General features: G+C 48.8%; 1 protein-coding gene across 3 annotated transcripts in view; it reads left to right on the forward strand.

Moving 5' to 3' along the window:
* The window catches only part of KBTBD11 (kelch repeat and BTB domain containing 11), a 33,260-nt gene extending 17,885 nt beyond the window's left edge, over positions 1-15,375 (forward strand). The window contains exons 2-3 of one of the 3 annotated variants that reach the window (XM_011534772.3): positions 5,744-5,812; positions 8,724-15,375. In XM_011534772.3, coding sequence (XP_011533074.1) covers positions 9,632-11,503 — 1,872 coding nt within the window. In that variant the 5' untranslated portion in view covers positions 5,744-5,812; positions 8,724-9,631 and the 3' untranslated portion in view covers positions 11,504-15,375. Of the gene's footprint in view, positions 1-5,743; positions 5,813-7,239; positions 7,386-8,723 lie in introns of all 3 variants that reach the window. The other 2 variants (XM_017014116.2, NM_014867.3) reach the window with 2 other exon arrangements.
* Positions 15,376-25,935: the final 10,560 nt, after the last annotated feature.

Consider the following 25,935-nt stretch of genomic DNA (forward strand, 5'->3'; position numbering starts at 1 on the left):
GGCCCTTGCTCCTGCATCAGCCCAGAGGCCCGTGCATCGCCAGAGGCTTTGCTCTCCCCACACCAGGTCAGAAGAGCTCAGGGTATCTTGTGGGCAATGAGCTGTGACCTGCCCAGCCAGGATCCCGAGGCCTGCTTCCTGGGGGTCCTGCACTGCCCTGAGGGAACCCAGTGATGGAGTGGCAGAGAAGGTGCCCACCGGTGAGTGGGCCTTCTCGTTTTAGGACGAGATCACTGAATGGAGCAAATTGCCTGGGCTCTTGGTGGGAGTAAGTTACAGGGAAGAGACTCCGACCTGGGTGTGTCTGACACCAAAGGGAAGGCTTCCAAACACCTTGACCTTCCTGGAGCTTTGCCAATGCGTGAAATGTGTGCTTATTTCATCGCGGTAGACACACAGGGAGGTAGGCGTCATGCACGAGGAAGTGCCAGAGATGGGAGGTCATCTACCCAAGGGCCTTTAGTTGAGGAACGTCTAACTTTCAAACCCACCCTCCCTCTTCTGAAAGGTCCCTGAGCAGCACCTGTTGCCACCCAGGACACGCACTCCTGGACTCTGGCCCCACCTGTTCATTCCACCAGGAAGAGGGGCAGGTTCCTGCCGGGCTTTGTCACTGCCTGAAGGGGAGCACGGGTGAGTTTCCTCATCCCTGAGCCCGGGTTTTCTCAACTGTAAAACGTGGCAGCGCTGCCTGCCTCCCAGGGTGTTTGAAGACTGTGTGGTAACTGATGTCACCTGCACAGTTCCTGCACACAGTACAAAAGCACAAATGTTAATTCCTCCACGTGACCCACACGTCCCCCAGATACACTCAGAGAGGAGGAACAGGCAGGGGAGGAAGGGCCAGACGGATGCCAGGAGAGGGGAGCGAGCTCGGTGGAGGCTTTTTCTTAAATTGGAAGCGGGGGTGGGGTGGGAAACACTGGCTGGAGGTGTAGGTACCTGGAGAGATTTCCCAAGGTTAGAAATGCTCCCCATAGTTTAGGAATATGAGTTTAAAATCATGCCTGTTCATAATAGATTTTTAAAAAATGTGTAAAGAGTAAAAAAAAAAATTCATCCCAATCCCCATCCTTATTTTCATACTGTTTTTTCTTTCTATATCTTAAGACTTTTTCAAGTTGGTCTATACTTTAAAACCCACAAGTTGTTTTGATTATAAAAGCAGCATATATTTTAGAAAATATTGAAACTCAGCATTTTATTTAGGAGATTTTAAAACCTAGCTGTAATCCAACATCCAGATATAACTATTGATCTCTTTTATTTATTTTTTTTTTTCAAAACCTTTTTTGTGAGCCCCTACTTGGAGCTGTCATGTGGATAATATCTTAATCTGCCATTCTTTGTGTAGTTTAAAAACTTGCTTTTATTTTGTTATTGTTATTATTTTTGAGACATGGTCTGATTCTGTTGCCCAGGCTGGAATGTAGTGGCATGATCTTGACTCACTGCAGCCTTGACCTCTCCCGGGCTCAAGTGATCCTCTGACCCCAGCTTCCCGCGTAGCTAGGGCTACAAATGCTGCATGCCACCACTCTCAGCTAATTTTTTTTTGTATTTTTAGTAGGGAAAGGGTCTCCCCATGTTGCCCAGACTGGCCTCGAACTCCTTACCTCAGGTTATCCACCCACCTCAGCCTTCTGAAGTGCTGGGATTACAGTCATGAGCCACCATGCCTGGCCTCTGTGGTTTCATCTGAGTATTTTCAGTTACCATTGTTTTAGTTTCCCTAGCTAACATGCATTCATCCATCCATCTATCCATCCAGTCGCCCATCTTTCTGTCCATCCATCGGTCCATCCGTCCGTCCGTCCGTCCGTCCGTCCGTCCATCCATCCATCCATCCATCCATCCATCCACCCACCCACCCATCCATCCATCTATCCATCCAATCACCCATCTGTCTATCCATCCATCTATCCGTCCATCCGTCCATCCATCCATCCATCCATCCACCCATCCATCCACCCACCCACCCACCCACCCACCCACCCATCCATCCATCCATCCATCCATCCATCCATCCAGTTGCCCTTACACAGTCCAGCCTGTGCTAATGGTAGAGTGAAAGGTAATCCTCCTTTCTGTGAATTTTATGTTTTTATGGAAAGGGATGACACATACACCTCCCTATCTGTAATGATACTATGTGGTGCTAAAATAAGACTTTCTCTGCAAACACAGACTGTAGAGCAACTAAAACCGGAAGTGAGGAAGTCTTATTAGAGAATGCACCATGGCAGCTTGAGCCTAAAGAAGGAGCAAGAATTCTGCTTCTCAAACCAGGATGGGGGTTGTCTTAGGCATCAAGAATTGCACAGGCAAAAGCTATCAATATATGAATACACAATACCCCCTACACACACACACACACACACACACACACACACACACAAAACCCCATAGATGGTTTATCAGGGGAGCCACAGGCAATTCCATGAGCTCGTGCAGTAGGACAGAGGGGAGTGAGGCATGAGGGCGGGTGAGTTGGGAGCAGATTGCTCAATACTTCGTTTACCGGCCTACGGAGCTTAGACTTCAAGAATATCTATTGTATAAAAGCTCTTCTTCAGGAAATTCCCAATAATTTTACTTCTTCCAATTAAGTCCTGCTAGGAGATTCAGCCTACTGTTATTCCCCTAAATGACCCCCAGGAGGGCAGGTGGGGGACAGCTGGTGGAGCGAGGCCGGGCCTGCCCCAGGATCCCAGTGCTGCCCCATCTCCTGCTGCGTCAATGCTCAGAACTGCGCAGAGCACCCTGACTTGCTTGGATTCTGTCTACAGGATGCAGGGGCAACCGGCGACCCGCCTGAACATTCCAGAGGCTTTGCTCAGCCCCGTGCATGGCTGTGACAGGCGTCAGCTCAGACAGGGCCGGGAGTCTGAATGACTCAAGAGGTGTCATGGCACGGTGGCTGATGGCGTGGGCAGTGGAGCCAGTTGCTTGGCTCATTTCTGGCTCTGCCCCTTAAAACTGCATGGCTTATAAAATGCATATTGATGAAATCACATAAATGGCTAATCACAACACCTCCCTCCCAGAAGGCTCCTGCGGGTGCCACGTGTTAATATGATGTAGCACACACCAGAACAGTGCCTGGCAAAATAGACGCCCGCTGCTCTGTGTCCTTTCGGACTCACGTGTTGTCAGGTCACACTGCAGTCCAGCTGGTCTCTTAGGATGCCCTTCATAAAAAACAAGCTAAAAGAGGCCAGGCGTGGTGGCTGACGCCTGTAATCCCACCACTTTGGGAGGCCAAGGTGGGCGGATCACTTGAGGTCAGGAATTCGAGACCAGCCTGACCAACATGGCGAAACTCCGTCTCTACTAAAAATACAAATACTAGCCAGGCGTGATGGTGGGTGCCTATAATCCCAGCTACTCGGGAGGCTGAGGCAGGAGAATCCCTTGAACCCAGGAGGCAGAGGTTGCAGTGAGCCGAGATGGTGCCATTGCACTACAGCCTGGGGAACAAGGGTGAGACTCTTGTCTCAAAAAAAAAAAAAAAAAAAAAAGCTAAAAGAGTATATACATTGTGCTGTGGTGGGACAGACACTCTAATGCATGTTGCTAGGTATATTATGGAACATTTACTTATTCAGTTACTCAAGAAACTCCACCGTGCTGTAGACACCCTCCCCATTTCTAAACTACACAGAAAATATTGCTTACAATTGGCTTTAGTTTTCTTTTATCCATGTAGTATCTCGTTGCTTGAACCACTGTAGGAATCCTGAAGGCAGACACTAAGAGCAGAAGCCACTTTTCTCATTCCCCAGGACAGCACAGAACCTTGCTTTTAGTAGCCGTACGGCCAAGTTAAATATGGGCTGCATTTTACAAGGAAAATGTATTTCCTGAGTGGTGTTTCCTCCTGGCTAGTTTTAGGCTGTGTAATTCTGCACATTTTCATGGTCCCTTTACACTATTTTCTGTGCCTTAAAGCATACTGAGAAAATGTGGATCAGGGCTGGGTGTGAGGACGGCCAGTTCCACGGGGCATCAGTGTCAGTGATGGCACCGACTCCCTTCTTGCTTCACCCACCCTCGGTCCTGCCTGCCCAGAAGCTGTGGGCCTGTTTTCATTTGGGCCTGGAGAGGAAATAACCTTGAAAAGCAATATTTGTAACAGCAGTTGAAAGTGAACCAATACATTGAATCAAAGAGAAATCCTGACCGGGCATGGTGGCTCACACCTGTAATCCCAGCAAATTTAGGAGGCCGAGGCAGGTGGACCATTTAAGCCCAGAAGTTCAGGACCACTCTGGGAAACATAGCGAGATCCTGTTTCTACTAAACATACAAAAATTAGCCAGCTGTGGTGGTGCGCCCCCATAGTCACAGCTACTTGGGAGGCTGAGGTGGGAGGATCTCTTGAGCCCAGGAGTTGAAGCTGCAGTGAGCCATGCTTGTGTGACTGTCCTCCAGCCTGGATGACAGAGCAAGACCCTGTCTCAAAAAACAAACAAACAAAAATCCTGAGATTCCCTACAGGTTTCTAAGATGCTATAATTTTTCTTAGACTTATGGCCCTTCTTTCTTAATTAACCTTGCGATTCATTGGCTACTTAACTGTGTGAATGGCATCTTTCTGGTGCTGATGGAGGCCATGTGGGCACGGCCCACCCAGGCGCTATTCCCAGGGACGCTGTGGTCTAACAGGGTGTGGTGGGATATAGGCAATGCGTGTAGGACGCTGGAAGGAATTTTTTTTTTTGGACGGGGTTTCACTCTTGTTGCCCAGGCTGGAGTGCAATGGCGTGATCTCGGCTCACTGCAACCTCCGCCCCCTGGGTTCAGGTGATTCTCCTGCCTCAGCTTTCTGAGTAGCTGAGATTACAGCCCTGTGCCACCAAGCCCGGCTGATTTTGTATTTTTTTAGTAGAGATGGGGTTTCACCATGTTGGCCAAGCTGGTCTTGAACTCCTGACCTCAGGTGACCCACCCACCTCGGCCTCCCAAAGTGCTGGGATTACAGGCTTGAGCCACCGCGCCTGGCTGAAGGACTGAGAAGCAAAACATACCACAGAAGTTTACATAAACTCCCTAAGTCAATGAACGCATTCTTTAAAAAAAAATTAAGCTGACTGTAATGATTTGAAAGGAAGACTCTTTTTAGCAAGCAGTATTATTAAAATAGAGCATGATATTTTATTCTGAATAAGTCCTAATGTCCACATTAAATATATAATGTCCACATTGGGAAATCATACAAAATCTTATTTTTTAATTTGTATTAATCGTAAAGAAATGTATAGAAACTTAGAAGTTTAGATATTTATAAGGCCCAGAAGAAACTTACATCTTCTGGGGGAAAATGCTACATATATTTTATTATTTACATTTAATTAATACTATTTATATTTAATTAGCCCTTGTTCTTATGAAATGATTTCCTAATTACCAGCAAGGAGGAAACTGGTCACTCCCTGTCTCCCCCGCGCGCCCCCCGTGCCTTCCATGGAAACTGCAGTGCTGACTTTCTGTGTCGCCTGGTTGTGACTCCAGAAGTGGGCTCAGGAAACCCTTGTTGACGATCACCCAGGGAAAAAATCCTTCCAAACCCTCCGGCGGGGGGTGGGCGAGTTTCAGTAATTTCACAGTAACAAGGATGGACGCTCCTCAGGGAGCCTCTTAGTGGAATTCTGATTCTGGAGCCAACCACAAAATGGTGGCGGTGGGAGGAATCCCTGTGGAAATCCCTGACTTCCCATCCAAAAACATCTGACCCTAACAGTCACCGCGGTTGCTGATGCCTCAGAGGACTGCTAGACCCAAAGGCCAACTCCTCTCCATCTATTTTAAGGTAAAAATTTCAGTAATGGGTCATTCTGGAAAAAAAAAAAAAAGTCTTAATGTTGAGTTTCTTTTAACATAATTTGAGACAGAAAAGGGCCTCCTGCTTAACCTCATTTCCCACATGGTGTGTGACACCACGTCCATTCTGCAGGGAGACCCGCGGCAGGGCAGGCACGTTCAGTGCTGTGAGACCATCTCCCGGAAGGGCTGCCCAGAGCCTCCTAGAGGGGCGGCGGAGGGCTCCCGAGCCCCTGATGCAGCCTTGCTGCTGCTACTCAACAGCGTAGCTGAAGATCTTGGTGTCAGAAACAACATCGCTGATGGTGGTGGACAGGGAGCTGCTGGCCTGCTTTTGCCTGTGGCAGGTGATCTCAATGCAGTGGTGTCTGAGAGGCCTTGTGATTCCTCCCAGTGAGAGTGCGACGCTGTACCATGTTGAGACCATCCCCTGCTCTGCCAACTTGCTTTGTAATGTGAGCCAAAGGGCACGCAGGGGGACGGCGGCAACGACAGAATACGATAGGGCCACCACCTCTGCTGGAAGGGGCTCCTCAGAAGGACACAATTTAATAATGTGTGTGTGTTGGAAAAGTAACATAAAGACCGCTTGAATCATGACTTTTGAGATGATTGAGTTTCATTATTTCTTGGGCCAGCTGGAATAAGAACCAGTTCTAACCCAGGTGTGAGTTGAACATCCCAAATTTGAAACTGAAAATGCTCCAAAATCTGAACTGTTTTGAGTGCTGACATAATGCTCATTGGATCCTTTCAGATTTGGGGTTTTGGGAGTTGAAATGTAAGTATAAATGCAAGTATTCCAAAATTCAAAAAATGGGAAATCCTGAAGAGCTCAAGCATTTGGGATGAGGGCTACTCAGCCTCTAGCCAGACAGCCTCCTTGTTGGCACAGCAGAGATGGGTCCCTCGCTGTTGGGGGCACTGTGGGCTGCTTTCTGGTGTGTCTGTTTCATCATGGAGATGTCTCTCTTGCTTAATTGTAGTTATAACAAAATGTATACTTATCAAACACTCTTTCAGGCTTTGAACTGATTTCATAGGACTTTGCAGGGCAGAGTTCCAAATTTAAGCTTTTAAAATGCATTTGACTGATTGCATGACTTCCCTTCAGTCTGTAATGATTAATTACATAAAGATGACTCTCGGGATGGAGGCTCCTGTACATTGCAGGACAGTCCAGCCAGAGAAAGAACTAGGGAGCTCCGAGAGCCCTTTCTAGGCCAAGAAGAAAGTTTACTACACTGGATTTTAGGGGCTATGTCTTCTGTATCTTACAGAAGCAGTGTTAAACGAATAAGCCAACTGAGACAGCCAGTTCTCAGATTTTATTTCAGACATGAGGTTCATGTGTATTTCTTATCTGATAGAGAAGTTTGTCTTAGATTTGCTCTCTCTCTCCTTTGCATGACTCAGCTGGCTGGAAAGACTCTGCAGTCTTCAGGGCTGGTGCCCTTCACCGATGCAGCTTCACAGCTTTTCCATTTCGGGTCACCGTTACATTGTGGTCCTTTCCCCGGCCCTGGACTGGCCACCACTGGACAGCAGGATGGGGGCCTGGGGTGAGCACCTGTCAGTGTGGGCATGGCTGGGTGAACACAAGGGACCCTTGTGTCCTGCTTAGCTATTGTCTGTGACCTACCCTGGGGATCAGAGCTTCAAGGTTCTCAGAAACCTTCTTAATATTACATTCCCCAGGCATCTTATGACAATTCTATGCACATAGGGAGTGTGCCAACATTTTATTGTGAAAGATATCTGGAAGACAGAGGGAGAGAGAGAGACAGGGAGAGTCAAACGTGGAGTTTCCAACTTGAAGACACTTTTATTTCTGAGAATACTGGGAAAGCCTTTTCAGGGACAGAGGGACAGGAAGAGCAGGGAATTTATAGTAACCAGGTAATGCTATTGCACATAATAAGTAGAACTTTAGAAGATGCTGGGGGTTAAGTATCATTTTACCCATCTCACTTGAGAGCTGAACACGCATTCTGTATAAAGATAAGCCTGGTCATGTTTTGGATGGTTGTGTTGTCCACATTCTTTTCTTTAGAAGGCCAGAATGAAGTTGGCTTATGTGGACTCTAAGACTCTAAGTTTCTTCCCAGTATGTTAGGGAGTGTCCGTGAAGCGTTTGCCAATTTAAGAAAGATATTTGATTGTATTCTATAATGCATCTGCCGGCACTCATATCTGCCTTCCACATACTTCATTCAGTCTTTTCGCTTTGATTTTCCTTTTGCTGCATTTAGGCTGTTTGGATAATTGCTTCTCTGAGGTTTTTCAGGGTTGTAATTCTAAGAGTTTAAAGAGATTTAGGAGTTGGCGCCATTTGGGGTCCTGAATTCATGCTGTTGGCTGAAGCTGATTCCAGAGAAGCATCCTAACGCCTTTCTACAAATGGTTGTAACCGAATGTGAAATAATTAACTGGGAAACACTGAAAGAAAACTTGTGATCTGTTAATAAATTAATAAAATCACACAATCCAGTCATGCTTTCTCACTAAAAGGAGTTCTTCATGCTACTTACACTTTTTATGTTGAAAACAGTTAATTGTTGATACTCGACTGCTTTTGACCTACAGAACTAGCAACTTCATATGGTTCAACCGATGCGTGTCAGGCCTTAATGTTTGGTGGTGCCAATTGCTTGAACTGGACTCTCCTGAGTCCTCAAAATCAGGAGAGGAATATCGAGAGGGTACTTTAAAAAATTCCTAAATAATTCTGCATGTCCTATTCATCAAACTCTCCAGCAGAGAAAAATCACAACCCCTTTACAACCAAAACTGAATTCTATAATCTGAACGTTGGAGAGGGAAGGGTGGTAGACTCCGCTGACACGAAATAACCTTACTGAAAAACGCACAAATATCCTCTCTTTTTGTCCTATAAACAGGAACAAGAGTGTGGTGAGAGGACGCGGAAACACCTGATATCCCAGCAAAGGAAGCTGCAGAGGAAGGGTCCTGCCCCGTGAGCGAGGACAGCCTCCAGGAGCACAGCGGCTTCTCCTAACATCCCCCTGGCAGTGAATTACGGATGACCCCGTATATGAGGAGGTGTGGATGCCGACACACGGGGAGAGCTCCTGAGACCAGCACACAGGACCAGTGTCCTCCCCGTGACCTTGCAGTTGTGTAGCCACAAGTGGGAGCCACAGAGAAGGAGAGCCCATAAGGGGACTCTTTTCAAGACACGGTGTTAAATCAAGGCTCTGAAGTTGGGGCCACAGCCGGTCTCAGCTTTCTGTGTTCTGGGGGCGCGGTGATATGACAGCATGTGAAGTGAGTGGGTGAGCACGGACTCCTGAGAGCGAGGGCGCACCCAATACCTGGTTATCTGGTACTGCAGAGAGACACCTAGTCAGCCAGCGTTGCAAAGAGGGATAGCTAGTCACTCAGGCTGCAGAGAGAGACACCTGGTCACCCAGGCTGCAGAAACAACCGCAGTCAACTGCAGCTCCAGTCATTGCTGGATGTTGGCTGACGCGGTCCTGGCGCCAGCTGGAGATCCATTCACCAAGACTTTCTGGGCAGATTTAAAGTGGCTGGGGTTCAGAAGTTCAGCAAGTCGGACACACCCCTCCTCGCTGGAGAGGAGAGGGCAAAGGCGAGGCGGGGGAGCAGCGTGTGAGATTCCCCCCTTCACACACACAACAACAAAGCGTGGACACACAGAAGTGAAATCTGATCGCGTGCCAGGAAAAGCTGTGAGGCTGGAAACCCCGGAGTAAGGCTCGACCTTGGCCAGACCTGCAGGCTGCGGAACCGGGGGCGCGCGGGCGCAGCGCAGCACAGCCCGGCCATGGAGCACGCGGTGGCCCCCTGCGTCCTCTACCCAGGGACTGAGCCCGGGGCTGCCGGGGAGAGCGAGAGCGAGGGCGCCGCGTCCCCGGCGCAGACACCCTGCAGTCTCGGCGCGTCCCTGTGCTTCAGCTCCGGGGAAGAGTCCCCGCCGCAGTCCCTCGCCTCAGCGGCGGAAGGCGCGGCCACCTCCCCGCCCTCCAGCGGTGGCCCGCGGGTGGTGGAGCGGCAGTGGGAGGCCGGCAGCGCGGGCGCCGCGTCCCCGGAGGAGCTCGCGTCCCCTGAGGAGCGCGCGTGCCCGGAAGAGCCCGCGGCGCCGTCCCCCGAACCGCGCGTTTGGCTTGAGGACCCCGCGTCCCCCGAGGAGCCCGGGGAGCCCGCGCCCGTACCCCCGGGGTTCGGGGCGGTGTACGGGGAGCCGGACCTGGTGCTGGAGGTGTCGGGGCGCCGGCTGCGCGCGCACAAGGCGGTGCTGGCGGCGCGCAGCGACTACTTCCGCGCGCGCGCGTCGCGGGACGTGCTGCGGGTGCAGGGAGTGAGCCTGACGGCGCTGCGGCTGCTCCTCGCCGACGCCTACAGCGGGCGCATGGCGGGCGTGCGGCCCGACAACGTGGCCGAGGTGGTGGCCGGCGCGCGCCGCCTGCAGCTGCCCGGCGCCGCGCAGCGCGCCACCGACGCCGTGGGGCCGCAGCTGAGCCTGGCCAACTGCTACGAGGTCCTGAGCGCGGCCAAGCGGCAGCGGCTGAACGAGCTGCGCGACGCCGCCTACTGCTTCATGAGCGACCACTATCTGGAGGTGCTGCGCGAGCCCGCCGTGTTCGGCCGCCTGTCGGGCGCAGAGCGGGACCTGCTGCTGCGCCGCCGCCTGCGCGCCGGCCGCGCCCACCTCTTGGCCGCGGCGCTCGGGCCGGCGGGGGAGCGCGCGGGCAGCCGGCCTCAGAGCCCCTCGGGGGACGCGGACGCGCGCGGGGACGCGGCCGTCTACTGCTTCCACGCGGCGGCCGGAGAGTGGCGCGAGCTGACGCGGCTGCCCGAGGGCGCGCCGGCGCGGGGCTGCGGCCTGTGCGTCCTCTACAACTACCTCTTCGTGGCGGGCGGCGTGGCGCCCGCGGGCCCCGACGGCCGCGCGCGCCCGTCCGACCAGGTCTTCTGCTACAACCCGGCCACGGACAGCTGGAGCGCCGTGAGGCCCCTGCGCCAGGCGCGCTCGCAGCTGCGGCTGCTGGCCCTGGACGGTCACCTCTACGCCGTGGGCGGCGAGTGCCTGCTCAGCGTGGAGCGCTACGACCCGCGCGCCGACCGCTGGGCCCCCGTGGCGCCGCTGCCCCGGGGCGCCTTCGCCGTGGCGCATGAGGCCACCACCTGCCACGGCGAGATCTACGTGTCCGGGGGCTCCCTCTTCTATCGCCTGCTCAAGTATGACCCGCGGCGCGACGAGTGGCAGGAGTGCCCGTGCAGCAGCAGCCGCGAGCGCTCGGCCGACATGGTGGCTCTCGACGGCTTCATCTACCGCTTCGATCTGAGCGGCAGCCGCGGCGAGGCGCAGGCGGCGGGGCCGAGCGGGGTCAGCGTGTCCCGATACCACTGCCTGGCCAAGCAGTGGAGCCCGTGCGTCGCGCCCCTGCGCCTCCCCGGCGGCCCCACGGGCCTGCAGCCCTTCCGCTGCGCCGCCCTGGACGGCGCCATCTACTGCGTGAGCCGCGCGGGCACCTGGCGCTTCCAGCCTGCCCGGGAAGGCGAGGCCGGCGGCGACGCAGGCCAGGGCGGCGGCTTCGAGGCGCTGGGCGCCCCCTTGGACGTCCGGGGTGTGCTCATCCCGTTCGCTCTCAGCCTGCCTGAGAAGCCGCCCCGAGGGGAGCAGGGCGCCCCGTAGGCCGGCGGGGTCGGCGGGCGTCTCCCTCGGCAGGGGTTTGCGGGGCCCAGGTCCCTTTGGGCCCGCGGAGGAGGACGTGGTGGGGAGTCGGGGCCGCTGGCCACGCTGGTGGTTTGGACACTTCGAAGGAGCCCCGAGGACGCTCTCAGGGCCGCTTTCGCTTTGCTTTCCTTTTGCTTGTCTTTGCTTCTGGGGGTGGATGCCTTGAGACCCAGGAGGTGTGCGGATGGGTCCCTTGACAGACAGGACACAGAGAAGGCTGTGGGATCCAAAGGGTCAGCCTCAGGGTACAGTGGGGGTTCCTGAGGCAGCCTGCAGCCGGCCCCGGGGTGTCCCGAACCCCGCAGAGCACCGAGGCTGTGCGCAGGAGCCTGGGACCCTCAAGTAGGTCGCCGCGAACTATCGGGGGAAGCACGCAGAGAGGGTCACGCCTTTTATTTTTGGCTTGAGATTTAAAATTATAACTGATAAGTAAAGCTCTTTCTGATTTAGTTGAAAATTTCGTACCATGTGCTCGCTTTGGTTGGCTCAACTCCAAAAAGAGTAATTTAATAAGCATTAAAGGTAAAATCTTTGATTACCAGTAAGGTTTCTTGTTCAATATGCATTGGAAGTATTTCCTTCCCCACACCATTGCTACTCAAACTCACATGCCTAGAGCAGCTCCGTCTCACTGTTGGACCGAGGGGGCTTTCATATTTTCAGTTGAAAGGATGTTAACTGATGTAGCGATGATTTACCATTATTTAAATTTTAAGTCTTCAGTGGCTAAATGTGACCAAACAGCACATCATAAGTAGGAAAAACTTACCAGGGTGCTTGTCTATCTAAAAAGCAATCTTTGATAGTCCACTCTGTATGCCCAGCCGCTTTCATAATCTGGAACGAGATAAAATATTCCTAAAAAGCGGGGAAAATCATTTTGCTTTGACAGTTCTATAAAAAAAAGTGTAGGCACATTTTAAACCCACTGTATATGATGTTTTCAATGTGGATCGTGTAGTTCTGATGAGGGAGATTAATTTTTACAATCAGTATTCTAAGTGTGGCCGAGTGACAGTGGGCATAGATTTATAACAAGGAAGTGACGTGCTTATCACCATAGATTTGCAAGTAAACTGCATGTATTTAATTGTATTGAATTGAGTTCCAAAATACCCTAATAGAATTAACACGAGGCTCACTGCATTGACAGGGTATGAGGATTAAAAACAAATCAGTTGGGTCGTTTCTCATTTAACATTTTACTTTTCAAGTGTGTATACAGAGGACTTACTATTATGACTTTGAGGATGAGATCCATGCTCACAAATAGAGGCGAACATTTGAACTCCGAATCCAACCCATTTTCTTACTGTAAGAGGAAAAGTTACTGGAACGTAACTAGTTGAAATCCTGCCTACTTTAATATTATTTGTTTGTTAATCCAGTAATGGGAACTGCCATCTCTGTAGAAATCAGTGGGTAATTGAAAAATAGGTTATGCTTTTTAAAGAGTCTGTGGTTATGAGAGGTCTCAGTTAAGTGTGTTTAGAAGTGATCAGCTTGAACCTTATGCATGACTCGGGGGCTGGAATTTATGATCTGGGTTACGGTATGTTCTGGGGACGTGTCTGCTTGCCCATGGTTACTCATGAACTGAGGGGATAGCTTGGCAACTTGGTTAATCATCTTGGGAAAGAAAAACAGACTTCATATCGCCTGACTTGATTGGCCTTTTATAGGAGTATACTGGAGAAATGGTTGTAGAAACAGTATTTACAGCAAAAGGAAACAAATAATGTTCATTTTAAGCAATGTACCATTCACACTGTCCTGCCTTTTCCTCTAGAATTTTATTAATGGTAGAAATTTTTATATGAAATGGGACCAGGACCAGGCTAATATTTTCAGTCCTTAAATATCAAACTCATATGCTGTTATCACTGTGATTTTACTTGTGAAATCATTCCTGTAATGTTTATTGTTTGAAAATGAAATATTGAAATTAGGCTTCCAGAGTAACACTGTCCCCGGAAAAGGATATGAGAAGTGGTGGATGTTGGATGGGGGTGGTTGCACAGTCCTGTGCGGTTCCCATGGCTTTCCAGCGTTTCATTTAGTGAAGGAATGCTCACACTAGATGTAGCACAGCTTCCTGTGGGGCCCGGCAGCAAAGCCCCAGGTGCTCCCTGTCACCTCACAACAAAATGCACTAAGAAACGTAAAGAATAAGAGGAATTAATACCCACCATTAAAGGATGTCCGGCCAACCTATTGTGGAAATTTATAGAATAGTATACACCACAGTTCTGAATAGTGATATCACATAAAAATACATACTAGAGGACCTGCCACGCCATGAGCAGTGTTTTTGCTTTTTGGGGGCCAGTCCCTGGGGTGTGGAGCCGCTAGGGTTTGCACCCATGAAACAGAGAAAAGCCACACCCTCCAAGGTGTGGCTTTCATTTTGGGACTGCTGCAGGGAGGGCAGAGGCATTGCTGAGACTGCCTGGCAACGGCTGATGCCCCAGGTAGGACCTTTTCCAATTCAAAGTGGTGTTCTAAGTCTGCGTCCAACACTGTGTAGGAAAAAGGTTGGTGCAAAAATATTCCTGGTCATCCACCCATTAAAATAGTTAGATGAGGCTATTGCCTTGATGACAGCTGTCCACACTCCTCATGAAATTAACCCGTATGCCGGGGCATTTCCAAATGTCTGACTCGTGAAATTAACCCATACGCAGGGGCCTTTCCAAATGTCTGAAAAGGCAGTGGTGTCTTTTGGGGAAAATGTTATGCATGGAAGCCTGACCTTTTGCTTAGTTGACAGCAATCCCTTCTGTATTGCCAATCAAGGTTCATTTGAGATGCAGAGGAATGAGCTTGAGCCTTCCTCCTTTTCCTTCCGGTTTTATTCTTCCTCTTGGGAACATCCCTCCACTCCGCACTGCTTCCTGCAGCTTTGTAGAGCTGGATTTGGAACTTCGGGATTTGGTTTCTGAGTCTGTGGAGGCACCGACTTCTGCTGTAAGAAAATGAATGTTGTGGAAATTCTTTGGCTACTTAACTAAAACTCGTGACTGTATAAGTTTGGCTACAAATAAGTAAGAAATTAATCATCTGCTCTGTTTCTGCTAATTTCTGGTGTCACTTCAGTAATTCTGGTAGCAGCCGTTGAATCTGTCAGTCTCTTAGGTAACTTCCTGTAAACGATTTGGAAATAGGATGTTTTCAACGTTCTTTTGTCTTTTGCTGAAGTCAGGATAGATTCAAGACATAATCTCTTGTAAGATCTAAATAGAGCAAATGTAAACAAAAGTGCATTTTTGTATTCTTGTTAATTTTAGATGCTTTCCTAGCTTACAAAAAGTTCTGTTTTTGGGTTAAAAATCAATCAACTTTCTGATATTTCCCCTTCTGCAATGTTATTGTTCATAAGAAAACACGAGCTGAAAATGGAAATCTGCAGTTGTTTCAGTTGTCTTGAATTTCTTTCAGTGGCCACATCATTTCCACGTTTTCCACATCCGGGAGGAAGCCTGGACTGTGCAGCCTTCGGGCACCCGGCACAGACACTGTGCTGGCAGGAGCTTCAGACACGCCAAGTGGATGGATTTGGATTGAACGCATATGAAACAGGAGACGGGTTCTCATGTGAGATCAAAGCTCCTCCAAAGCCTGTTCAAGCTCTAAGCGATTCTCAAATGTTACCATTTATTAAAGGTAAACTACACCTGTTGAAGGCCAAGTTCAGGGCAGCTGTTGTGATCTGTGTAGTTAATGTATTTATTAATGCTTGACTTTTAAAATCCTGGGCATAAATAGTGCAGAGCCTCGTATGTTTGTCAGTTCATGCCGAGATGAAATAAATCACGCAGAAAGTGCCAGTCCTCCTGATGTGCCCCGAGTGCTTTTCTCTTTCTCCACAGCGAGCGTCAGATGCGGCTTTTTCTCCTGTGAATCAGGGAGCGTAGCTCTGCCTGCGGGACCCAGGGTTGACACGTCCTGCCCGTTAAGTGAGGAACTGCCCTCACCGGCTCCTGAAGCTCCCCTGGCACAGAGGTTCTAAGTTGGGGTGTCTGTTCCCACTCCCAGGTGCCCTGGATTCCTCGGTCTGCTCACGGGTCCCAGCGGGGGATCACGGCACACCACCTAGGACCTCGGGAACACCAGGATGGGCTGCACAGGAGCAGGTGGAAGCCGAGGCCAGCGCCTAGACTTTGGTTCCTAGGGAAGGCAGGTTGGGGGAGCTGCTTCGCTGCACTGGTTTGTGTCCTTCCAGTGGGCTTTGTGCTATCACGGTGGTCTCCAGTTGCCTGGTACCGGGCCCAGGGGTGATACAGGGCAGGGCTTGTGTGTGAGAGTAGCTGAGGAGGGCTTGGGGGTGTGGACTGCGGCCAGTTGGTCTGGCCATGAGCTCCCAGCCAAGCCCTTCCCATCTCTAAGAATGAGCTGACTCAGGAGGACAGCCTGTCCCTGGCCAGGCCAGCAAGCTGTAAGATGCCAAAACATCACAAAGCACAGAAAATGAAAGAGGTGGTCAGTAGGACCGTCAGGCACAGTCCCCTGCCCCTGGAGTGGGTCGGGAGGTACCAGGGTGGGCAGGGAAGAGCATTAGGGCCATCCCACGTCTTCCCCGGTGTCCTGTCCCCTTCCACCAGCAGCACCTCCTCCATGAAATTTCCCAGTTGCAGTGGGGCTTGGGGGAACTAATGTAGAACATGTCCTCCCGCCCACCCCCCAGGTAAGAACGAACTGAGAAACGGCTCAGCAGCCAGGCAGGTGGGACTCACAGCCACTGCTTCACCCGCAGGGGCTGTGCCAGAGAGTGGTGCTGGGTTTGTTGCCACGTGGGCTTGTGAAGGCCACCGGAGTCAGTGCACACATCCTACCACCCCAGGGGGTCATATGCACTCAGCCCCCACCCCAGGGTGTCAGATACACTCAGCCCCACCCCAGGGTGTCACTTGCACTCAGCCGCACCCCAGGGGGTCATATGCACTCAGCCCCTACCCCAGGATGTCAGATGCACTCAGCCCCCACCCCAGGGTGTCAGATGCACTCAGGCCTATCCCAGGGTATCAGTTGCACTCAGCCCCCACCCCAGGGTGTCAGATGCACTCACCCCCCCACCCCAGGGTGTCAGATGCACTCAGCCCCAACCCCAGGGGGTCAGATGCACTCAGCCCCCACCCCAGGGTATCAGATGCACTCAGCCCCCACCCAAGGGTGTCAGATGCACTCAGCCCCAATCCCAGGGGGTCAGATGCACTCAGCCCCCCACCCCCTACAGGGTATCAGGACACCAGGACTCCTGGAGGATGCAGCTCCCAGAACTCCCTGTGAGTGAGCACAGAGCCCTGCTCCTGGGGGGCAGGTCCCATGGGAGAGCCCAGATGTGAGGGAAGGGCTGCTCCCCACATTCCTCCCCTGGGGAGAAGAGGCTGGGGTAGGAGCTGCAGAGAGGCCAGGACCAGGAGCCTCAGAAATTTCCTTGCAATGGAAACAGGCCTGGAGCCACGTTCCCCGGGGATGCACCTGTCCTCTCGTGGCCACTCCATGTCCTGGGGGAGCACAGGGGTAGGTGCCTTTGCATGTTTCTGAGCCGTTGGAGCTTAGAGATCACTCTCTGCCCTCAGACTGGGCTGAGGTCGGATTAGAATGTTAAATACCAGGCAGGGCCTCGTATTTAACCACTGGGGTCTTCAGGACCCCGTGGCCTCCAGCGTCTCCAGTGCCGACCCCAAGGCCCAAGTGTGGGCCTCGAACCCAGCTCGACACAGGAGGGGTGGCCTCGAGCCCCGCACCCGCAATGGAAAAGGACACGGGCCTCACAGGCTCCTGGGGTCTTCACTGAGACAGCTGAGGAAGAAAACGGTCTGGAGCCGATGAAAGGCGTGGCCAGGATGAGGGAGGAAGACGCTCCTTCCCGTCCCGTGTGCTTGAGGCGTGGGCCGAGTGAACGCTGTGGTGAGACCTGGTGCTCCTGCATGTCGCCACCACCCTGCCCTCAGAGCAGATAAGGCCATGGCCGTGACGACACCCAGCCATCGGGCCACCTGGGCTTCTTTCTTCCTCTGATCCGAAGACACCCTCCTCCACCCTCACCTGGCCTCCTACCAAGGAAAAGTTTGAGTTGAAAACCTGTAGACACAAACATTTTTCTTTTTTCTTTTTCGTGTGCTTCTTTTTTTTGTGATGGGGTCTCCCTCTGTTTCTCCCTCTGTCGCCCAGGCTGGAGGGCAGTGGTGCACTCTCAGCTCACTGCAGCCTCCAACTCCTGGGCTCAAGTGATCCTCCCGCCTCAGCCTCCTGAGTAGCTGGGACCACAGGTGCATGCCACCATGGTCAACTAATGTTTTTAGTTCTGGTAGCGATGGGGTCTCACTGTGTTGCCCAGGCTTGTGTCAGACTCCTGGCCCTAAGCTGTCTTCCTGCCTCAGCCTCCCAAAGTACTGGGATTAAGGTGTGAGCCACTGCAGCAGGCCCAAACGTTTCTAGACACAATTTGTACTTGAGCCAGAACCAAGTGTTATTGTTCATTTGTCAGGGGTCTTGAAAAAATTATTTTTCCTCTTAAAATCTTTATTTTTCATGCACTCAGCCCCAACCCCAGGGGGTCAGATGCACTCAGCCCCCACCCCAGGGTGTCAGATGCACTCAGCCCCACCTCAGGGTATCAGCTGCACTCAGCCCCAACCCCAGGGGGTCAGATGCACTCAGCCCCCCACCCCAGGGGGTCAGATGCACTCAGCCCCCACCCCCCACAGGGTATCAGGGCACCAGGACTCCTAGAGGATGCAGCTCCCAGAGCTGCATCCCAAAAAAAGGAATGTTGCTAAAAGTATATTCGTAAGCAGAGTGGAGACAGAAGCTCTCCAACCTGAAGTTGTTATCTTAGTTTTTCTCATAGCATTTTCTTCTGTGGAAATAGAATTCTGTTTGAACTCTTCTATGGCGTCACCATTTTCCCCTGCTGAGCTTTAGGATTTTTATAATAAATGAGAATGGTTTTCTTAGCTGAGTATTTTGAATATTTTAAACCTGATATAACACCAGGAAACACGTGGGCCTTTTAGACTGAGGCAATGAATCTTATAAATTGAGGCAAAAGAAAGAAGTGAGAACAATTTGCAGAAGTCTAATATTCTTGCTCAGTGAGAAAGGGGGACTTTTCACCTCTTCAGACAAATGAAATTAAAGCTATTCGTCTCCCCCCAACCCCCAATTTTTTTTTAGACAGGGTCTCACTCTGTCACCCAGGCTGGAGTGCACTGGTGCAGTCTTGGCTCACTACAACCTCCGCCTCCTGGGTTCAAGCTATTCTCTGCCTCAGCCTCCCGAGTAGTTCAGATTACAGGCGCACACCATCGTGCCCGGGTAATTTTTGTATTTTTGGTAGAGATGGCATTTCACCACGTTGGCCAGGCTGCTCTGGAACTCCTGACCTCGAGTGATCCGCCTGCCTTGGCCTCCCAAAGTACCAGAATTATAGGCATGAGCCCGCGCCCAGCGCAATTAAACCTATTTGTGCACAGAAGAGCTGACTGTGCTCAGTTCCTCGGAGGTCTTGAAGGAGGCGTGTTAAGGCCCTCCCTTCAGAGCCCATCTTGCTGGCATCACCGTGTACCATGCCACGCTAGGGTCTTGACACAGTGATGCGGCCCTGCTGCTGGTGGGCCACGCTGTGTGGCAAACACCTTAGAATGTGTTCTCACGCCCTAAAGATGCGTCCAAACGCTTCAGCAGCAGAAACTGAACAGTTGAATGCACACAGCTGCGGGCTGATGAATTCATCATCCAGGCCTGCTCCCTGAGAGCTCCGGAGGGCGGGAATGGGTCGTGGAGCCTGGGTCGTCAATCCCCACACCTGAGAGCTCTGGAGGGCGGGAATGGGTCGTGGAGCCTCGGTCATCAATCCCCACAGCACGCTCCTCACTAATGGTTGTGACTCAGTAGGTAAAACGCTGGCGGTCGCTCACAGTTCATTATTGCAGCTCTGTTTTCTGCTGTCTGTATAGTCTGGGACACGCCACTAAGCCTCATCAACGTTCTTAGTTTCATGTTCCTAAAATCTGAATCAGAGCAGTCCCCAGAGTGCTAATGAGACGGCTGTGTGGAGATAGCCATGGCAGAGTCCAGCCTCTGGGCCCGGAAGAGTCACTGCAGCTACTCCTTAAACACAGGGATTCTGTGTCCTGACATGAGAGATTCTCACGTGCTATATCCCGGATGCAGCCAGAGATGTGCATTTCAACAGGGAATTCAGAGGTGAGTGCTCGCATTGCCACGCTGTTAAAAACGCTATTGTAGGACCTCCCAGCAGGTGGCTGAATCTAAGCACGTTTAGGATCGCTGTCCGTGTGGAGCTCGCCAGGTGGTTGGTGTCCTCCCCACACGCTCTCCTGGCAAAGATACTTGTGGCTATTAACTTGGATCACCCCGAAGAGACTGTGGCTTGTCACAAACCCCATGTAGGATAAAAGAAGGCATTTAGGCATTGAAAACAAACCCTCTTACAGTAAGAGAATCCCAAACAGTTCCCAGGAACTGCAATGTGAACAGCCTGACCAAGCCACGGTGGGCTGAGGAAGCAGAGACTCCGTAGCACCTGAGGACCTCAGCCGCCCATCCTGACAGGTGCAAGTGCGCACCTGTAATCCCAGCTACTCAGGGGGCTGAGGCAGGAGAATCGTTTGAACCTGGGGGGTGGAGGTTGCAGTGAGTTGACATTGCACCACTGCCCTCCAGCCTGGGCTACAGAGTGAGACTCTGTCTCAAAAAAAAAAAAAATCTGGCTGAAATCTCCTTCTTGTAACTTTGCCTGTCACAAATTTAGCTTTCTAGTTCAAAATGTACTTGAGGTGAGGTCCCTGTGTGAATCACTGTGAGAGGATTTATGACTCCGTAAAGTGGGACACCCACGCTTAAGACGCTTACAGAGAGTGACAGAGGCGATGAGCTCATAGTAAAATAAAGCGGAGGGGAGTCCAGCCTGCAAGAGCGGCACCGAGTCCTCTAATACTTACTCGCAGCCAGGAGCCCGTAAGGACACAGAGAAGCAAGCCTCTAGCTGCTGGAACAGATGTCCCCAGCTCCAAGAAGCCACACAAACATCCTGTGTTCTCACGTCATCTTTGTTTGTAATCTAAGTATCGTTCTCACATGCACGACTGTCATTTCTAGGCTCACAAAGCAGATGATTAAGAGCAGAAATGCGGTGGCCACAGGGACACAGTAGGTTGTCCCGCGACGAGCCAGTGACAGGAGGAGAGGGAAGGAAAATGGCAGCTGGGGGTCCGGAACGCAGAGCAGTGTTTACTTTCGGCATCCAGTTTTGTGCTTGGTAAAGTCTTAAGGGCGGGAGGTTGATAATAGTATTATGATATTAACTGCAGATCATAAAACATCAAATTCTTTTTAGCATTCTTTGATCATGAGCCAAAGAAGATTTTATTTTTCAGACAAGTTTTAGGCTCACAGCTAAATTTAGAGGAAGGTTCAGAGTTGCCGTAAGTCGCCTGCCCCCAACACATATAGTGTAAACCCCACTGTAAACACCCTTGCCAGAGTGGGGCGTTTTTACATCAATGAACCTACAGCTCATCACCAGCCAGAGTACACAGTTTACATAAGGGCTCACTCTTGGTGTTGTGAGTTCCATGGGGTTGGACAAATGTGTAATGACATGGATCGGCTGCATCATTGCCAGAGCTCAATTGTAAGATCATATCATCTGCAAACAATGAGAATTTGACTTTTTGCATTCCATTGTGGATGTCCTTTATTTCTTTCTCTAGGAAAGGACCTTCAGTAGTATGTTGAATAATAATGGTGAAAGTGGTCATCCTTAGCCAGGTGTGGTGGCTTATGCCTGTAATTCCACCACTTTGGGAGGTCGAAGAGGGTGGATCATTTGAGGTCAGGAGTTTGAGACCAGCCTGGCCAACATGGTGAAACCCCATTTCTATTAAAAATACAAAACTTAGCCAGGCATGGCAGTGGGCAAGCTACTTGGGAGGTTGAGGCAGGAGAATTATTTGAACCTAGGAGGCAGAGGTTGCAGTGAGCTGAGATTGCACCATTGTACTCCAGCCTGGGTAACAGAGTGAGAATCCATCTCAAAAAACCAAAAAAAATTGGGAATCTTTGTCGTGTTCCAGATCTTCAGAGAAAGGCTTTCAGTTTTTCCACATTTATTGTGTTCCGCTTTTATTGTGTTGAGATATTTTCCATCTATACCCAGTTTTTTGAGAGTTGTTATCATGAAGAATGTTGAATTTTATCAAATGCTTTTCAAGCATCAATTGAAATGATCAGATGCTTGTTGCCCTTCATTCTGTTGAATGATATATCACATTGATTGATTTGCCTATCACAAACCATCCTTGCATCCCTGGGATAAATCCCCTTTAGTCATGTTGAATGTCTTTTTAATATATTATTCAATTTGGCTTGCTAGTATTTTGTTGAGGATTTTTGCATCAATGTTCATTGGGGATACTGGCCTGTAGTTTCTTTTTTTTGATGTGTCTTTGTCTGATTTTGGTATCAGGGCAATACTGGCCTTGTAGAATGAGTTTGGAAATTTTCCCTCCTCCTCTAATTTTTGGAATAGTTTGAGGAAGATTGGTATCAGTTCTTTGTTAAATGTTTGGTAACATTCTGCAGTAAAGCCATTTGGGAGGTCGAAGAGGGTGGATCATTTGAAGTCAGGAGTTCGAGAAGAGCCTGGCCAACATGGTGAAACCCCATTTCTACTAAAGATACAAAACTTAGCCAGGCATGACGGTGGGCAACTGTAATCCCAGCTACTTGGGAGGTTGAGGCAGGGTCCTGGGCTTTTCTTTGCTGGGACTTTTTATTATGGCTTCACTCTTGTTACTTGTTATTGGTCTGTCGGGTTTTGGATTTCTTCATGATTCAATCTTGGTAAGTTGTATATGTCTAGGAGTTTGCCCATTTCTTCTAGCTTTTCCAATTTATTGGCCTATAGTTGCTCATAGTAGCCTCTAAAGACCTTTTGAATTTCTGCAGTATTGGTTGAAATGTCTCCTTTTTCATCTCTGATTTTATTTATTTTGGTCTTCTTTCCTTTTTTCTTAGTCTGGCCAAAGGTTTGTAGATTTTATCTTTGCAAGTAAAAAACTTTTCATTTTGTTGATGTTTTGCATTGTTTTCTTCATTTCAATTTCGTGTATTTCTGCTCTGATATTTATTCTATTCTTCTTTTAATTTTGCGTTTGGTTTGCTTTTGCTTTTCTAGTTCTTTAAGAGGCATTGTGAGGTTGTTTATTTGAGGTTTTTCTACTTCGTTGATGTAGGTGCTTATAGCTATACACTTTCCTCTTAGTACTGCTTTTGCTGTATCCCGTAGGTTTTGGTATGTTTTGTTCCATTATTATTTGTTTCAAGATATTTTTCAGTTTCCTTGTTAATTTTTTCATTGACCCACTGGTTATTCAGGCAGATATTTAATTTCTATGTGTTTGTATAATTTCCAAAATTCCTGTAGTTATTGATTTCTAGTTTTATTCTATTGTCATCCGAAAAGTTACTTGATGTAATTTCATTAAAAAAATTTTTTTGAGACTAATTTTGTGGCCTAACATATCGTCTATCCTTAAGAGTGATTCATGTGCTGAAGAGAAGAATGTGTATTCTGCAGCTCTTGGGTGAAATGTTCTGTAAATAACTATTAGATCCATTTAGCTTATAGTGCAGATTAAGTCCGATGTTTGTTTTTTGATTTTCTATCTAGATGCTGTCTGATGCTGAAAACGGGGTGCTGAGGTCCCAGCTATTATTGTGTTTGAGTTTCTCTCTCTTTTTTAGCTTGAATAATATTTGCTTTATATATCTAGGTGCTCCAGTTTCAGGTGCATATATATTTACAATTGTTTTTTTTCTGAGATGGGGTCTTGCTCTGTCGCCCAGGCTGGAGTGCAGTGGCATGATCTCAGCTCACTGCAAGCTCCGCCTCCTGGGTTCATGCCATTCTCTTGCCTCAGCCTCCCGAGTAGCTGGGACTGTAGGCACCCACCACCACACCCGGCTAAATTTTTCTATTTTTTAGTAGAGATGGGGTTTCACCGTGTTAGTCAGGATGGTCTCAATCTCCTGACCTTGTGATCCGCCAGCCTCTCTATATTTACAATTATTATATCCTCTTGCTGAATTGACTCCTTTGTCATTATATAATGACCCTGTTTGTCTCTTTTTATAGTTTTAGTCTTGAAATTTATTTTGTCTGATGTATGCATAGCTATTCCTGTTCTTTCTGATTTCCATTTGCATGGAATATCTTTTTCCATGTCTTTATTTTCAGTAGTGTGTTTCTTTATAGGTGAAGTGTGTTTCTTGAAGGCAACAGATCACTGAGTCTTGGTTTCTTAGTCCATTCACCACTATGTGCCTTTCGATGGGTGAATTTAGGCCATTTATATTCAATATTATTATGATAAGTAAGGAGTTACTTCTGCTATTTTATTATTTATTTTCTGGTCTTCCTTTCCTTCATTTTTTCCATCCTGTGTTCTTTTTAGTGAAGGTGATTTTCTCTGGTAGTGTGTTTTAATTTCTTGCTTTTTGTATATGTGTGTTTTTTTTTTGTATCCATTGTATGTTTTTTGATTTGAGATTATCACGAGGCTTGCAAATAATTCCTTATAACCCATTATTTTAAACTGATGACAACTTAACATTGATTGTATAAACAGCCAATCTAACCAACAAACAAAGAGAAAACTAATAAAAACCCTACACTTTAACTTTGTCCCCCTGTTTTAAACTCTTTATTGTTTCTATTTTTATCCTGTTGGACTATCTATGTCTTGAAAAGTTGTTATAGTTATTATTTTAATTGGTTCATCTTTTAGTCTTTCTACTCAAGGTACGAGTAGTTTTCCCATCACTATTACGTGTTATGAGATTCTGTGTTTTTCTGTGTATTTACTATTACCAGTGAGTTTTGCACCTTCAGATGATTTCTTATGGTTCTTCAATCTCCTTTCCTTACAGATTGAAGAACTTCTTTTAGTATTTCCTGTAGGACAGGTTTAGAGTTTAAGAAATCCCTCTGCTCTTTTTTTGTCTGGGAAAGCCTTTATTTCTCCTTCATATTTGAAGGATATTTTCACTGCTTATGCTATTTTAGGATAAACGTTTTTTCCTTCAGCACTTTAAGTATATCATGCCATCCTCTTCTGGCCTGTAAAGTCTCCACTGAAAAGTCTGCTTCGAGATGGATTGGAGCTCCATTGTATGTTATTTTTTTCTTTTATCATGCTGCTTTTAGGATCTTTTCTTTATCCTTGAACTTTAGGAGTTTGATTATTAAATGCCTTGAGACATTATTTGGGTTAAATCTATTTGGTGTTCTGTAACCTTCTTGTACTTGAATATTGATATCTTTATCTAGGTTTGGAAAGTTTTCTGTTATTATCCCTTTGAATAAACTTTCTACTCTAACCTCACTCTCTCTGTCTCCTCTTTAAGGTCACTACCTCTTAGATTTGAGCATTTGAGGCTATTTTCTAGATCTTATAGGCGTGCTAAGTTCTTTTCTATTTTGTCTTCTCTGACTGTGTATATGCAAATAGTCTGTTGTCAAGCTCACTAATTCTTTCTTCCGCTTGGCCAGTTCTGCTGGTAAGAGACTCCAGTGGATGATTCAGTATGTCAATTGCATTTTCAGCTCCAACATTTCTGCTGGACTTTTTAATTATTTCAATCTCTTTGCTAAATTTATGATAGGATTCTGAATTCCTTCTCTGTGTTATTTCAATTTTCTTTGAGTGTCTTCAAAACAGCTATTTTGAATTCCTTTTCTGAAAGGTCATATACCTCTGTCTCTGCAGGATTGGTCCCTGGTGCCTTATTTAGTTTGTTTGGTGAGGTCATGTTTTCATGGATGGTCTTGATGCTTGTGGATGTTTATCAGTGTCTGGGCACTGAAGAATTAAGTATTTATTGTAGTGTTCACAGTCTGGGCTTGTTTGTACCTGTCCTTCTTGGGAAGGTCTTTCAGGTATTCAAAGGGACTTGGGTGTTAGAATTTAAGTTTTCAGTCATTGCAGCCATATCTTAGGGGGCACCCCAAGCCCAGTCATGCTGTGGCTCTTGCAGACTTGTAGGGGTACTGCCTTGGTGGTCTTGCAGAAGATCCAGAAGAATTCTCTGGATTATTGGGAAGAGATTCTTGTTCTATTCCCTTACTCTCTCCCAAACAACTGGAGCTTCTCTCTGCATGCAGAGCTGCCTGTAGCTTGGGGAAGAGTGACACAAGCATCCCTCTGGTCACCACCACTGGGATTGTGCTGGTCATACCTGAAGCCAGTACAGTACTCACACAAAGCCCATGGTAACCACTGACCAGCTACTGCCTAATTTGCTCAATCAGCAGGTGGCACAGCCAACCAGGCTTCTTTCCTTCCCTTTAGGGCAGTGAG

The sequence above is a fragment of the Homo sapiens genome, chromosome 8 (genome assembly GCF_000001405.40).
Source record: "Homo sapiens chromosome 8, GRCh38.p14 Primary Assembly".
Taxonomy (NCBI): Eukaryota; Metazoa; Chordata; class Mammalia; order Primates; family Hominidae; genus Homo; species Homo sapiens.